We start from the raw sequence: 14,890 nt of genomic DNA, 5'->3' as shown, positions 1-14,890 counted from the left end.
ACGAAACGTCTGCAGTTGATAATCACCTCGTTACCCCATACTCAGGGGGTGGCTGGTACCGCAGGACGGCCACATCTGTTCTCACAGGCTGAGGAGCAGGGTAGGGCTTGACCATCTCGTGGAGCATCCCGGGGTGCTGGTCACCATAAAAAAGTCCGTGCTCCTGGGTCTTGCTGACTGGGGACATCATTTGCTTGGTCTTGAAGGGGTACTCAGGTGGAGGACCCCGAGGGTCCAGCACTTTACCTGCAGGCTGGGCAGGGGAGGGCCCCCCTCCTACTTTGAAGCCCTTTCCATTCCCCGAGCCGGGAAGGTGTTGCTTGGCCCCATTCCTCTCCAGGGACAGCTGCATGATTCTCTCGCTGAGCGAGCGGACGTGGCCCTGCTTCAGTTCCTTCAGCGCCTCGTCCTTATGCGCCTGTCCACTGTTGGCACGGTTCACAGTGGGCCTCCCCTCAGTTCGGGACTTCTGACTGGTGCCCCCTGCCATGTAGTAACCATGGCCCACCGCCCCCTGCTGCTGTTGCTGCTGCTGCTGCCCCCTGAAGAACTGCGACTGTGCTTTGGCCTCCTCGTAAGTGGGCAGTTCCTCGTTGTTCTGCTGAGGCTGCGTGGACCGGACCTGTTTCTCCATCACCGTATTGTCCACCTGGTGTTCTTGACCCTGCGGTTCTTGGCGTGCTGACTGGTAGACCATTTGTGGGTCTTCTTGAGTGAGGTTTTCCGTGGAAGAAAAGTTGTTTGTAGGATGGGCTGGTCCTGCACTCCCTGTGGCCTGGTGCTGAATGGCCAGCAAGTTCATGTTCTCGGTTGGGGTGCCATACCGCAGTTGTTCCTGGATCAGCCGCTGCAATACTGTTCCAGCTGCCGCATCCTCGGAACCTCTCATTTCCACCTCTGAGATCCTCAGGAAGTTTGGGGAGTGGAAGTTACAAAGAGGATCTTCAACTAAAAGATAAACATAGGAAAAAAGATATCAGGCAGCTCCACAGGAGATATATGTCTGTGACTATGTGGTACATAATTAACATTCTAACTACAGCAACATTTAAAAATAAGATTTCAAATGCATCATCACCTCCATTTACCTGGCAATGTCTCATGGAATTTTCTTCTCCAATTCAAAGCGAGTCTACTATTCTGCACTCCCTCTCCTCTGCTTCCTCTTAAACATTGTTCCATCCTTCAACCCCTCCCTTTTCTCTAATCTCCCCACCGGTCCTTTCTCTTCATCACATAAATATACCCAAGTCTTTCCCATTTAAAAAAAAATACAAGAGAAAACCAAAATCAAACCAAAAGAAACCACCTTTTCTTGGCCCTCCCATATACCTCTAACTACCACCCTGTATCTCACTTTTCCTTCTCATCTAGTTGTCTTTGGTAAGTACCCTACACTTGCTGTCTCCCCTTCCCAAATGCTCCATCCACTAACCTCCCCACTGCTCTGACCAGTAAGCAAATCCAATGAGAATTTTCCAGCCCTCATATTATACACCTAACTTTTCTGAAGCATTTGACATGGTTGGTTACCCTCTTCCTGCAATGCTCTCCTAATTCGGCCTCCAGGTCACCCCTCCTCTTGGTCCTGGCTCCTGCCTCTCTCTATGCACCATCTCTGGCTCCCTTCTCTCCACCTGTCCCTTAAATTCTGGTGTTTCCTACAGCTCTGTCCTGAGTGCTCTTCCACCTTTATGCGTCTCCCAGTGACACCACACCTACCCCTCGTCGTCAACTACTGACTCATGACCCATACATCTACAACTGCCAGACGATGGCCCTGAGTCCTTCTAACTCAACATGTCTTCCTCGCCCAAAATACTTAACCACCCATGCCAACCCCTGTATTCCCTGCCTCATCTACTTTCTGTCAAGCCAGAAAACTGAAGGTTTTCCAAAATTCCTTCCTCTCCCTTTACCCCAACATCCAGACAGCCACTGCCTGTCAATTCAACCTTCTCAACATCTCTGCCAACCCTCTTTCTTATTCCCGTGCCAATCTCCAAGTTCATCATTAATAACTTCAATACAAGCATAAGAACTACTTTAAACATGTATATGATGTGCCAGGTATTGTACTAAATTCTCTCCATGTGTTATTTCATTCATTCCAAATATAACACTAAGAGGTAGATAGTAATTCCCTCACCTTACAGAAGAGGAGAGATGTTCACAGAAGGTAAATTGCCGAGGCCCCCAGGCGGGAAGAGGCAGAACTGGGATATGACACCAAATCTGTGTTCATTCCACATTACAAGCTCTCAGCAACACATACCCAGGTCATTCCAACAGCCTCCTTATCTATTTCCCTGACACTCATCTTATTCCCACTTCCAAACCCACCCCTCTGACCCCAATCTATCTGGCACACTACCTTGAAAGATTGTTCCAATAGAGAAATCTAATCATGTCACTCCTCTGCACCAAAATTCCTCAATAATCAATTACAGGATGAAACTGATATTCTATCATATGGTGTAGCAGGTACTACCTACCTATCCAACAACATTTCATGCTGCTCCCAACTCCCACTGGCAATCCTTTGGCGTTTAAGCTCCAGCAATACTTATGTACATATAGTTTCCAAGACATGCTAGCTCTCTCCAGCCTCTGGACCTTTGCTTGCCTTCCCTCTGCCTAGAAAAATGCATCTCACCATATCTCTTGGGAAAATTATTGGACAAGTGATAGCTCCAAAACTACCTTCCGAGTAAAACCTTTCCTGCTACAGCCCTGCAGGCCTGAGCCTTTTTCTCCAATGTCCCCACTCCATTTGTATATATCTCCATTGCAGCAATTCTCACAGTAGATGGCAATTATTTATTTATACAAGAGTCTAAACTCCTCAAAGGCAAAGATCATGTCTTCGCATCTGGGTCTCCCCAAAACAAAGCCCAATGCCTGGATGTCATAGGGGCTCAGATATTTAACCAATAAAAGAATACCTACATGAGCTCCATGAAATAAAAAATTTAGCCCATTTCACAACAGGACTATTAAGTAGTGCATTAAGGATATTATTATAGCATTATGAAAGTAGAAATTCTACCACTAACTACTGGCATGACCTTAAACAAATCGCTTTCCCTCCCTGAGCCTCAATATCCTCCTCTATAAACCAAGAGAGCTGAACTAGATCATCTCTAGGCAGCCTTCACTCTTACAGATTCATGTAATGATGGCTCTATGTTTCATGTGTACATACGGCACATCATTTTCCCAAAACAATCTTTCTTCCCCAAGTTCATCTTTTCTTCCTATAAATGGCATTCTCAAATATGAGTCATCCAGATAGAAGTGTCATATTCACTTCTGACCTTTTTATCCTTTGCTCTCCACATTTAATCAACTGCCACGCTCGTTTTTCTCAGTCTACAGTGAAATGAGAAAAAAACAAAGGTGGTGTGATATGCTTATATACAAGATATATACATATATGTATATTAATACATCTATATGTGTATGTAAATAGACATATGCCATTAGAAGGTTCATAACTGCCCTTTTTGGGGCAAGAACTGTCAAGGATCACATCCCTCCTACATTTTTGGTATTAAAATATGAAAAAAAGGTGACAGCAGATGACATTGTTACTGTCCTTGCAATAGCAAAATACTGTAACTCCGTGATGGCCCCCTAATTTTCATTAAGAAATTTCACATTTATAACAGTTACAAATCACAACCAAGCCCTAGTTTCTACACCAACAAGCTCCCCCATCCCATCCGTTCTTCCGTGCCCTCAGCCACTCTACGGGTTCCAACTCTCCTTGCCAGCCATTTAGACATGCTGAATGGCCTCTCAATATCTCTTGCCCCTGGCTCCTTCTCCTTTCAATCCATATTGCATTATGACCTGTCTTCCTCTGCCAGATTCAAACTCCCGGGAGCAGAGAGTTCTGTTTGTTATATTTATGTGTTGCCTCCCCAGTGCCTTGAACCCTGTCCTGATACACAGAAGGCGTTCAGGACATGATTGTTGAGGAAATGAAGGGAGTTTACACACTGGTTCCTGAAGCTCAACTTTGATCATAAGGCTCTCCCTGTCACCCTTACCCCCAAAATCTCACCTCTGTGGCTTCTCTGAACCTCTCTCCTCTGAAAAATGGAGAAACTTTCATATCTGCCTCATAGGAATGTATGTGAAATAAACTGAAATTTATCCCTTACCGTCAAAGAATCAATATTGTAACTGAGATATAAACCCAAAGTTCAACAGCAAAAAAATTTTAAACAATAAAAACAAACTATTAAAACTCTACACAACATGAATTGCCAAATATTTGTAATAAACCATTAACTACCCAAGGAAAGACAGATCAATGTGGGTTGGACTGGTCTGCTCTTTCACTCTACCATATTTACTGAAAACGTGTTATAGTTCAGGCATTGGGACAGGTGCTGGGGTTACGAAAGTAAAGAGGACACAGTCCTCCCCTCAGGGTAACTGATCTGAAAGACTTAATGGAACAAGCACATTCAAATAAAAAAATTTTAAAACATTTTAAAATAAAATGAATACAACTTCAAATCAAAATATATTTCCAAAGGAGAATGATGTATTTGGATGAATAATAAAGGAATAGATCTCAACAAGCATGAAAACTATTGAATTCCCCTTTCACTGAAGTAAGAGAGAGATGAGTTATAAGCATATTTAGCAAGAACCATGACATCCTTCCCTAAAGTGGTTTAAAGATTCCCTCACAGTTTAACCAGTCTCAAAAGCCCTCAAAAAGAGATAGGAAGTTTTTACAAAGGAGACAGCTCCTTCCTTGCTATAGTTCTGAATTACTTCTTTTAACTTCTAAATTATTTGCAAAAAGAGATAAAAACAAAAGCAGAGAAGGAAAAAAGAAATGAGATTCTGAGAAAGGGGAGAAAAAAGTATTTAGGAATCAGAGAAAAACTGAAAATAAGTGGTATAATTCTGAAGTTCCTACATGTTTAGGTATGATGCTCTCAGACAGAGTCACATATTAGAGTAAAGCAGTCTATTAACACCATAGCAAAACATGATTAAAAATAAGGCATCTATGAACAGACAATCAATAATCCAATATGATGATTTAAAAAACAAGATTAGAGAATAAACATCTGAATTATGCAAAAGAGCTAAAGATGAGAAACGTAAGATCATTTTGCTTTTCCAACACAAGTGCCGGTAAAAGGACTTACCAACTTTTTCCCTGATGCTACTGGTTGCCTCCACCGTCAAAGCAGATGTTTCATGCCTCCCAGAATAGAGCTGAAAGTCTGGGGAAAAGTAGGTGGAGTCTTCTAGAACCTGGACAGGACTACTGGGGCTATAACAAGCAGAAGGGGACCCTGGGGGAAAGAAAGCGAAGTGAATATGAGTGCCCATCAAGTCCTCCTTCCTTCCTGTGTGACTCACAAGAACCCACCAGGCATTCTCCCACAGTGTTTCAACTTGGCAGAGGGAGCTCTTTCTTTTTGATTCATAAAATTCCAAAGTTACTATTCAGAATTATCACAAGTCCAGCCACCCACCAAAATGACCCGTGAGGTCAACATAACAGTCCTCAAGACACACTGAGTGAAGGCGCAAATGCTCTAATGTTCTCACACAACCCGGTTCCAAGGGTTGCAGCAGCACCAGCGAAAGTCAAGTCCTCTGCGGGACTGAATGTGTCACAAAGTTCTGAATGGTCAAGGTTGAGGACAGAAAGGAGGGAAGCAGGGAGGCCACTGAAGGAAAGCAAAACAGGAAGAGCAGCTGTCTTTCAAAATACATAAAAGATACAGAAAGGAGTGGTCATTCTGCCACACCATGTGTTAGCAAGAGAATGTGCTCTCTGCCCCACTCAAAGACTTCTGGAGTCTAATGTTACAGTGTGGAGCTGGGGCAATGGGGTCTGGTCTTCTGCCAAGCACTGGCCTTTCAGCTCCAGTTTATCTGCTTCACACACAAACTGGAGTGTGCTTCCTGTTCCAATTAAATGTGACACTGTGTTCAGTCCTTCAGTCACTGAACATGAGATAGTACTACAGTAACACTGATACCGCACACACAACATCCATGGGAACATTCAGCAGGACGGGCCCAGGCTGTTTTCCCTCTCTGCACTGATTCCTCTGCATGGGCACCAAGTTTAAGGCTCTTTTCAGCTAAAGTAACTTATTTTACTCTGGGGAAAGAATCATAGTACTTTTTTAAAAATTAACATCCTTGCTCAAAAGAAAATTCCATTAAAAGAAAAAATCCTGTTTTTCAGCAATGGCTTCCAACTGGTAATTTGAAACTTCTCACTAGGTTTGTTATCTACCCATTTCCCACAAGGCCATAGCTAGTGGTAAGTGACTAATTATTGATACCAAACGACCATAAGATGGGAATGTCCTCATCTCCTTCCTGAGTTTCTTTGCCTCAACATATGAAACAGTATTTGCGTGTGTGCTCACATGTATTACAGGCACATTTTGGACTAGAAAGAGAAAGGATTCTGACAAGAATTTTTTTCTTATAAATTAAAAATAATGTAGTTGTAATGCCCACTTTAAAGATGAACATAAACCGAGTACGGATGATACTATATGAAGATCAGTCTAAAACTACAGTTCCAATGCATGACAGTATCTGTCAGCCTTCTCCTTTTGGCCAACCTACAAAGACTAACCTGAAAAGAAACTCAGCCCCTTTCCGGGCATCATCCTCTACGTCTATAAATCTAGAAGCCTAGGGCTAAAATTAGGAATCATGGATGACCTGGATGCAAAGGCAAGTCCTAATCTGGCTTCCTCTTTCAGGCAGGTGGAAAACAGTGGAAAATGAAAAAGGTACAAGGTGCAATTCTGGCTGCACATTAAAATCACCCAAGAAACTTTTAAAATCTCTGTACCCAGGAACCACCCAGATCTATTCAATCAGAAGCTCTGAGGATAGGGCCTAGGCACCTGTATTTTATACAGCTCTTCCAACAATTCCAATGTGGAGCGAAACTGGGGAAGCTCTAAGCAAGAGGGAGAAGAGCAACAGAAAAACTAAACCCCAAAACACCTTTCTGTGCCTTCATTCCCATCCCTCCTACCAAATCAGAGTAAGAGAGGAGTTGAGAGCCCATATGCTTCGATCAAAGAAAGTGTGATGTTTTCTTAAAATAGACACTGAGTCAGGAATGCCATGTGCCAGCATATTACAACTTCAGATGATTCTATCTAGTCACATGACTAAGAATGTTAAATGAAAACAGAGCAAACTGATAATAAAACTGAGGTCCAACTAAAATATATATGTGTGTGTGTATATATATATGAATATGTGTATAAAGAAGAGTGTAGGGCTGTGTGTGTGTGTGCTTTCAATGTGGAGCTCAGTATGGATCCCAGCACTAAGCCATTCACTGTCACTACAATGTCAGTATGAGTTACTTTTCCACACTTTATCTCATGGTCTGCTAACTAAGAGTGGGTTTAAGAACTCCAAACCACAGAACACTACAAAGAGGGCAATCCTTGAAGCAGGGCCGGAGCACAGAGGACACCAAAGATATGCCTTTTCCCTTCACCACTGTTTCCTCAGTGTCATGAAAGAACTAAAGCATTTCACACACCCCCACACACACCTGAATTCACACTGAAGGACAGGATGCCTAACTATTAAGACATGTCAAAGATCACTTAGGACTTCTTCACACACACCCAGGGTCCTGCACGTCCACTGAGTTACACTCCCACTGCTGCTGACCACTCCTCAGTGCTGAAGAAAGGCTGGAGAGCAGAGCAGATGACAACAGACCCAGCAGATGGACATGCCCAGGTACCATCCACTCGTCTAAAGCCAAGAGACAACCAACCGGCTGAGCTGTCCCAGCACTGACACAGCCTGAAGGAGTCACTTTATTTATTTATTTATTATACTTTAAATTCTAGGGTACATGTGCACAACGTGCAGGTTTGTTACATATGTATACATGTGCCATGTTGGTGTGCTGCAACCATTAACTCGTCATTTACATTAGGTATATCTCCTAATGCTATCCCTCCCCCAGTCCATGTCAGTGTCAGGCCCCGGTGTGTGATGTTCCCCATCCTGTGTCCAAGTGTTCTCATTGTTCAATTCCCACCTATGAGTGAGAACATGTGGTGTTTGGTTTCCTGTCCTTGCGATAGTTTGCTCAGAATGATGGTTTCTAGCTTCACCCATATCCCTACAAAGGACATGAACTCATCCTTTTTTATGGCTGCATAGTATTCCATGGTGTATATGTGCCACATTTTCTTAATCCAGTCTATCATTGATGGACTTCTACTAGGAGTCACTTTAACTGCTAGCTTTCTCACTTGAAAGACAAGGAAACGTGACAGTAATGTGAGTCACAGAGTCTACCCCAGATTCCGGGGCCACACAACAAAAATTTAACAGAGGTCGCAGTTCCATTCTACATGTACCTAATCCTTCCCTGCCTATTTTAATTCACTGTCTTCACTGGGAACTCCTGCAACACAAATTGAGTCTACTTTCTTAGGCAAAATGCAGGGCACATGATCTAAGCGACAAGGTCAAGGATATCTGAAATGAGGAATTGGAAATAAACCTATGGCATGAGAGGGACTGCTGTTTTCTATGTCAAAAGTTCATGGCCAGGAGCGAGAGCTGGGAGAAACCACAGAAGCCTCCCAGATACCATTACCACCCAGAAAGCCCCTGCAGAGCCTGGCTCGGTACCAGGGGCTGAGCAATGGTGCCAGTTTTTAGGGGAGCCCACAGCCTGCCAAGGACCCCCCTGGCTTTACAGTTGTTCTGTGTACAGTGTAGCTGCCTGTAGGGGCTTCATAAAGACCATTCCCATACAAGCACTTCTGGACTTTGTAGGTAACTTTTAGATATCTCTTTCAAACCAGAACCTTATCTAAGAATCACCACTCACAGCTTTAGTATGCATAGGGAAAGTGGCAAAAGCAATGGAAAACAAGCTAAGGTCTGAGTAAAGGAGTCAGCTCTCTGGGGAGTCTCCCACTGGGGAGGAGAAAGTACAGTGCCTAGGGCCCTTAACCTGAAGAAAACCTAAAGATCTGTTTTTGCTGCACTCCACAAAGGATGAAATTCTAACATTCTAGTTTAAGGGTACAACATTTCTGCCTTATGTTGCCTATGACCCATTTCACCAAGAATGGCTCCTTTTTCTTAACAAAATCTGCACGTCATTTGTCAACATGAAAACTCCTTTGCTTCTCTCTCTTTGAGCATGACTGCTTTTTTGGCTTGCTTTTCTGAAGCACTGAAAACTTCCTTCCCATATGGTTTTATGCATTGCTTTCTTTGTAACAGAGGCCTTTAGCTAATGTGACTCTGAGCAAGACTATTTTCCCTACTCAAGAGTGGCAATAACAACGGCTTCATTGTTGAAGGGAAAAAAAATGAATTAAGGTGAATGAAGTGAGTTGTCTGGGGGAGGCAAGAGGAGCAACAGAAACCGTGGTGAGCCACTCCTCTGATTCACCTGCCACTGGAACTACTAATTCCCAAGGGTCAGTTCCTGAATCTGTCCACAGGCCATTAATACAACAGGCTCAAAGTCTCCATGAGGTTTAAACCCTGGAGGACGTGAAACTGTCATTCCGCTATCATACAATACACACAACTAGGAAGTCCCTTGTCCTTAAATTCCACTGCCGGCATGCCACTCCCTTACACATAATGATTTGGACTATAACTTCAGGGTGGAATTTTTGTGGTTTTCAAGGCTGTCTCTAAACAGGGCCCCCTTTAGCTGTGCATAGTCCTGCTGGTCCCCTCAGCATCCCAGCATCCTGTGAACATGTCATCCTCATTCTCCAAGTGCCACCTTCTGGCTTCACATGCACCCCTAACTACTCTAAAGTTCATCCTAGTAAATGTACCTCTTCAGTTTACCGCCTCTAGAACGCCTCTCAACACCATCCCCCATGCCCTGACTGATCTCCCTTCCCTCAACTGTCACCACACTTATGATCTGAGGCACACAAAACTTGTGGTACTTAAATTTCACCTGCCTAGTATTTTGCAGTAGTCATTTAATAGGCTGGTGTTATGGCCCTGGTGAAGTCATTACCCTTTGAAGACAGGCAGTGTACTGTGTACTTGCTAATTTCTGCAAGCATGTAGCATGTAAGACATATGCTTCTTACTACGTGCTGACTGATGGCAAGAACATGGCGGTATTCTCTGGAATGTTCTCAGTACCAAGTAAGAGTTAAAGAAAAGACAAAGATCCCTCCAAAGCCAGTCTCTATGAGAATTCCAGATAATTCCTTGTACCTTTCAGCTCCGTAAGATGAGGGGGCCCTTACTCTCCCCTATGCAGCAAATACTAGTGCTTTCAACTCTACAGGCCAGCGACCCATTCCTCAAAGAGACCACTAACTGCAGAACAACTCCCAGGTGTTATGTCACCAACGGGCAAAGCTTTCTGCCAGCTACATGTAATCCAAAACCTCCTAATGATTTAAAAACAATTTCACTGTCTAGATTACAATAACCTCCTATAACTTTATAACAGAGATTTTAACCACAGCAACAAACAATTCTGTGGCTTCTATCTTACCTTTCAAAGAGCTAAGGAATTTGCTGAGTGTGCCAGCAGCCTCAAAGTTAAATGTAAGCCATCAAGCCTTCTGATTCCGGCAGAACTCGAGGTTTTTCTAGGGAGCCGAATACTCCGCTCAAGGAGAAGGATACCCTGGAAACAATGTTTTCAAAAGGGCTGGAGAACCTATGACCAGTACCTGAAAAATAAGGGCCAGCCTGTTTAGGAGTCCTCATGTGAAACCAAGCCAGCTCATCTGGATTAGCTGATTCACAATCTTAAGGGCAGCACTGACAGGCAGCAGTGCCTCCTCCAAACACCTGCATGCAACACATGTTTTTAAAAAGGAAACAGTGCCGGGCACGGTGGCTCAAGCCTGTAATCCCAGCACTTCGGGAGGCCGAGGAGGGTGGATTACTTGAGGTCAGGAGTTCGAGACCAGCCTGGCCAACATGGTGAAACCCTGTCTCTACTAAAAATACAAAAATTAGCCAGGCATGGTGGCGGGCACCTGTAGTCTCAGCTACTCGGGAGGCTGAGGCAGGAGAATCACTTGAACCCAGGAGGCAAAGGTTGCAGTGAGCCAAGACTGCGCCACTGCACTCCAGCCTGGGTGACAGAGCTAGACTCTGTCTCAAAAAATAAAAATACAGAAATAAATAAAAAGGAAACAGTAAGCTCCACCACTAAACTAAAAGCACTCCCTGGAATATGCTTTCTCACTCTCTTTTCCCCCAAGCAACCATTACCTGAAACCCGAGGTTTGGAGTTGGGGGTTGAGGGGTGGGGTTTACAAGATTCCCAACCCCTACATGGCAGGTCTTTTGAATGGGCATCAAACTTGAATTCTAAACCCTGGACCAATCCATATGTTCCAGAAAACAAGTGAAATCAAGACCCCGACACCTATTTAACTTAGACTCTCTCTGAAAGTGGAATGTGTGTTGAATAACTTCAAACTTGTCTGAAGTTTAACTTTGTAATGCTTACTTAAAAATCTTTGAGATATTATCAATATAAACCAAAATGCAGAGCACATGCTTAACCTTTAAAGTAACAATTGAGTCCAAGAGATCACTGTGAGTGGAGCTATAAATAGCAAGAAATGAGTAAGACTGTCCTTGGCCCTTAGGATTTTACGATTTGGTTCCAGAGACCAACGTGCACACAACTACCCATTTTTATTGCAAAGTATGTTAAAGGAACATACTGCTTTGGAGTTCCATGAGTAATCATTACTACCTGTTGACTGACGGAAGGGACATAGAGCTTCAGTGACAAGGAGAAAGAGATATGTGGGCTGAAATTGAACCGGAGGGAAAATGAGGAGGATGTTAATCCACTGTGGGGTGTGGAGAAGGTGGTAGTGAGGGAAGATCGGCCCAACATGGGAAAAACAAAAGCATAGGACTGGGTTATGAAAGTGTTGTCTCTTTAAGGAATAGAGAGTTCAGCGTAGCTTAGTTATGGGTAAGGAGAAGGGGGTTAAAAGCATGAGTACATTATTTTCCTAACATGTTAGAGCTGGAAAATAAATTAGAGATTAGGTAGTTCAACTTCCAACTATTACCTACCATGTTCCCTTCCTGATAGTCACCTAAGTAAATCCTTTCAATGTTAGGGAACACTGAACTCACTGTCTAAGTCTAGGGGCAGGTTCTATCTACCTTCCATTACAGAAGCCAACCCTGTTCCAGCAGTTAGAACGACCTAGGCTCAGTCAACTGGATGTGCACTGAATCTTGAGGAAATGATGCAAGGACAAAAAGGTGTTGATAAACTACCTGCGATAGCACTATCCCCTGGAGTCCAGGAGCAGCAGCAGTCTCTATGGTGACCTCACCCTAACAAGACAAGTAGCGTATCTCTGGCTGGGTTCCCAGTGGCTATCTGCCTAGATTCCTGCCCATTTTCTGAGCCTTCCAATTAATTTGTGAGCTGCCCGATATATTTCCAATAAATTTCTCTTTTGCTTAAGTTACCCAACGTCACTTTGTGCTTCTTACAATCAAGAATCTCTGATAGACTTATTTTTTTAAGCAATTGTTCTGATTCTCATTCTAGTACAGCATTTTGTTTTGTATCTTTTTTTTTTTTTTTTTTTTTTTTTTTTTTTTTTTTTTTTGAGACGGAGTTTCGCTCTGTCGCCCAGGCTGGAGTGCAGTGGCGCGATCTCGACTCACTGCAAGCTCCGCCTCCCGGGTTCACGCCATTCTCCTGCCTCAGCCTCCCGTGTAGCTGGGACTACAGGCGCGCGCCACCATGCCCGGCTAATTTTTGTATTTTTAGTAAAGACGGGGTTTCACCGTGTTAGCCAGGATGGTCTCGATCTCCTGACCTCGTGATCCGCCCGTCTCGGCCTCCCAAAGTGTTTGTTTTGTATCTTAAGTACTACATGACTTAGCACTATCTGCCTGGAATTATAGTAACTCATGTACATTGCCCTACCTATCCTTGGCACCAACCTTGTGCAAATACCTGTGAAAAAGACTTGTAGTTCCCCGATGTCTTCTTCATCTAGAGGGCCTGTCTACCCTTACAAATCTATGAAACTTTTACTTTGGCACATACTAAATGCTAAAATATATACTAATTATGAGAAAGTCTTTTGAAGCTCTATTCTAGTGCCACTTCCTCCAGGGAGTCATCTTTCCCTCCTCCCCCCAATTTCTATATGCTACTCAGTGCTCCCCAAGCATTCTATGCATACTGATATCATAATGTATTAAATTGCCTGTGTATTTAGTTTCTTTCCCACCCCTCCCCCCTTAACTCATAAGTTTATAACAACAGAGACTGTGTCTTATTCACCTTTGTATCTCCAGTTACTAGCAGAAATAAGATCACAGCAAGTACTCAACACATATTTATTTTACCAATGAATCGTCTGCATATGTTCCTAGTACCGAAGAGTTTCTGACACATCATGTGGACTCAACAAATACATTAGCTTAATAGATATATTCAGATACATTTTAAAATAACTAGTTATAAGCATGTTCTTACTACAGAGCTTAGCTCAAAGTTAAGTTTGCCTTTTTTAAGGCCCTTCAAACTACTCAGGAAACGAAGGTAAAAGCTGTTGCGGGGAAAAAGAGAAAGCCACCTAGTGCTGAAACAGGTTAATTACAAGTGTGCTGTGATCCAATTGCACAAAGGCTTTGTACATAATGTTAGAAGTAACATCTTAAAACTTAAAGTGTAATAATAATAATAAAAAAGAAAAAAAGAAAAAAGAAAAAAGAAGTAACAACCACACAGGGATTCTGTAGCTTGAGCACAAACTCACACTTCAGAGAAAGGCGTGCTCCCCTCCTCCTCAGCCCCCACAGGCAGGTCCTGAGCCCACAGGACTGTGCCCTAAATGCGGCCCTTGCTTGGGCTTCCTCCGCAGGTCTGGGCACCGGGGCAGAGGCAGGAGTCCTCTCTTCTCACTTGCGGTAAATAAAAAAAGGAATATTCCCAGTCCCACCTCTCACACAGAGTCACCGTGAGAATGCAGTGGCAGTATCCATAATAAAAAGGCTTTCTCTACAAAAATAATTTTTAAAATTTAGCCTTTAACATAAAATCCAAAGGTCCTTAAATATCTTGACTCAAATTGTATATAGTAACATTATAATATATATTTTATGTTGATATATTTGTTGCTTAACTTATCTAAAACAAAAAGACTGAAAGTACCTGAACTCGAGATTCTTTTCCTCAGATAAGTTTTAATAAATAAACCCTATATTTAATTAAGTTACTGAAATTTAAATAATCTTTCATCATAACCTGTTTGTTTATACCTATATAGAAGTAAGTATCTCAGGACCACAGTAGTATTCTTTTGGGTGGCTCTGGCACACACTGTGGTCCCACTGAGAGTGAACAAGTATTACCAGCATGTAATACTCAATGCAGACAGTAAGTACTTAATATTTTTTGAACAAAGGAAAACAAACAGGATAGAAAGCTTTAAAATAACCCTCCAGACATGAAATGACAATATGTCTGTATAATTATGCTCTGCAAAGCTCCCTCTCTCACTCCCACTAAGAGAAAGGAGCAGTTCAGATACTTCCTGTCTGCCACGGATTCCTCCAGCTTTCCGGACCCTATTAGTGTGTATTGTTGCAGATGAGTGACACTGGGATATCTGTCAGGCAGCGGCATCCCACAGGGACTGGGACTCTCTCAAGAGGCAAGCACATTGCTTCTAATCACACTCACCCAGCTCCTAAATCAATATGCGTTCATGAATGAATTACATAATTTAAACAACCAATATCTCCAAGAAACTAAACATCCCTTAAGTAATAAAGAGTATAACCAATAAGAGCAGGAGCTACCATTTATTGAGTGCTTATTAGTGCCAGGATG

General features: G+C 43.0%; 1 protein-coding gene across 10 annotated transcripts in view, besides 2 other annotated features; it reads right to left on the bottom strand.

Annotated features, from left to right (window-relative positions):
- AMOTL1 (angiomotin like 1) overlaps positions 1-14,890 on the bottom strand; it is a 170,289-nt gene that overhangs the window by 76,411 nt on the left and 78,988 nt on the right. For 4 of the 10 annotated variants that reach the window (XM_005273798.5, XM_006718772.4, NM_130847.3 and 1 more), the window contains 2 exons: positions 5,178-5,327; positions 27-948 (listed from right to left, as the gene is read on the bottom strand). In XM_005273798.5, the coding sequence (XP_005273855.1) occupies positions 27-948; positions 5,178-5,327 (1,072 nt within the window). Of the gene's footprint in view, positions 1-26; positions 949-3,317; positions 3,373-4,069; positions 5,328-14,890 lie in introns of those variants that run through there. The other 6 variants (XM_011542626.3, XM_047426452.1, NM_001301007.2 and 3 more) reach the window with 3 other exon arrangements.
- Positions 10,481-10,981: an enhancer, noted in NCBI's record as "H3K4me1 hESC enhancer chr11:94522523-94523023 (GRCh37/hg19 assembly coordinates)". NCBI's record gives its function as "activates a minimal SCP1, AML or CMV promoter by ChIP-STARR-seq in naive and primed H9 embryonic stem cells {active_cell/tissue: H9 hESC(naive and primed)}" and the evidence as "EXISTENCE:reporter gene assay evidence [ECO:0000049][PMID:30033119]".
- Positions 10,982-11,482: an enhancer, noted in NCBI's record as "H3K4me1 hESC enhancer chr11:94522022-94522522 (GRCh37/hg19 assembly coordinates)". NCBI's record gives its function as "activates a minimal SCP1, AML or CMV promoter by ChIP-STARR-seq in naive and primed H9 embryonic stem cells {active_cell/tissue: H9 hESC(naive and primed)}" and the evidence as "EXISTENCE:reporter gene assay evidence [ECO:0000049][PMID:30033119]".

This window comes from Homo sapiens, chromosome 11, assembly GCF_000001405.40.
Source record: "Homo sapiens chromosome 11, GRCh38.p14 Primary Assembly".
Lineage (NCBI taxonomy): Eukaryota > Metazoa > Chordata > Mammalia > Primates > Hominidae > Homo > Homo sapiens.
The sequence above is the reverse complement of the archived record's forward strand: the minus strand, read 5'-3'. Positions and strand labels throughout refer to the sequence as shown.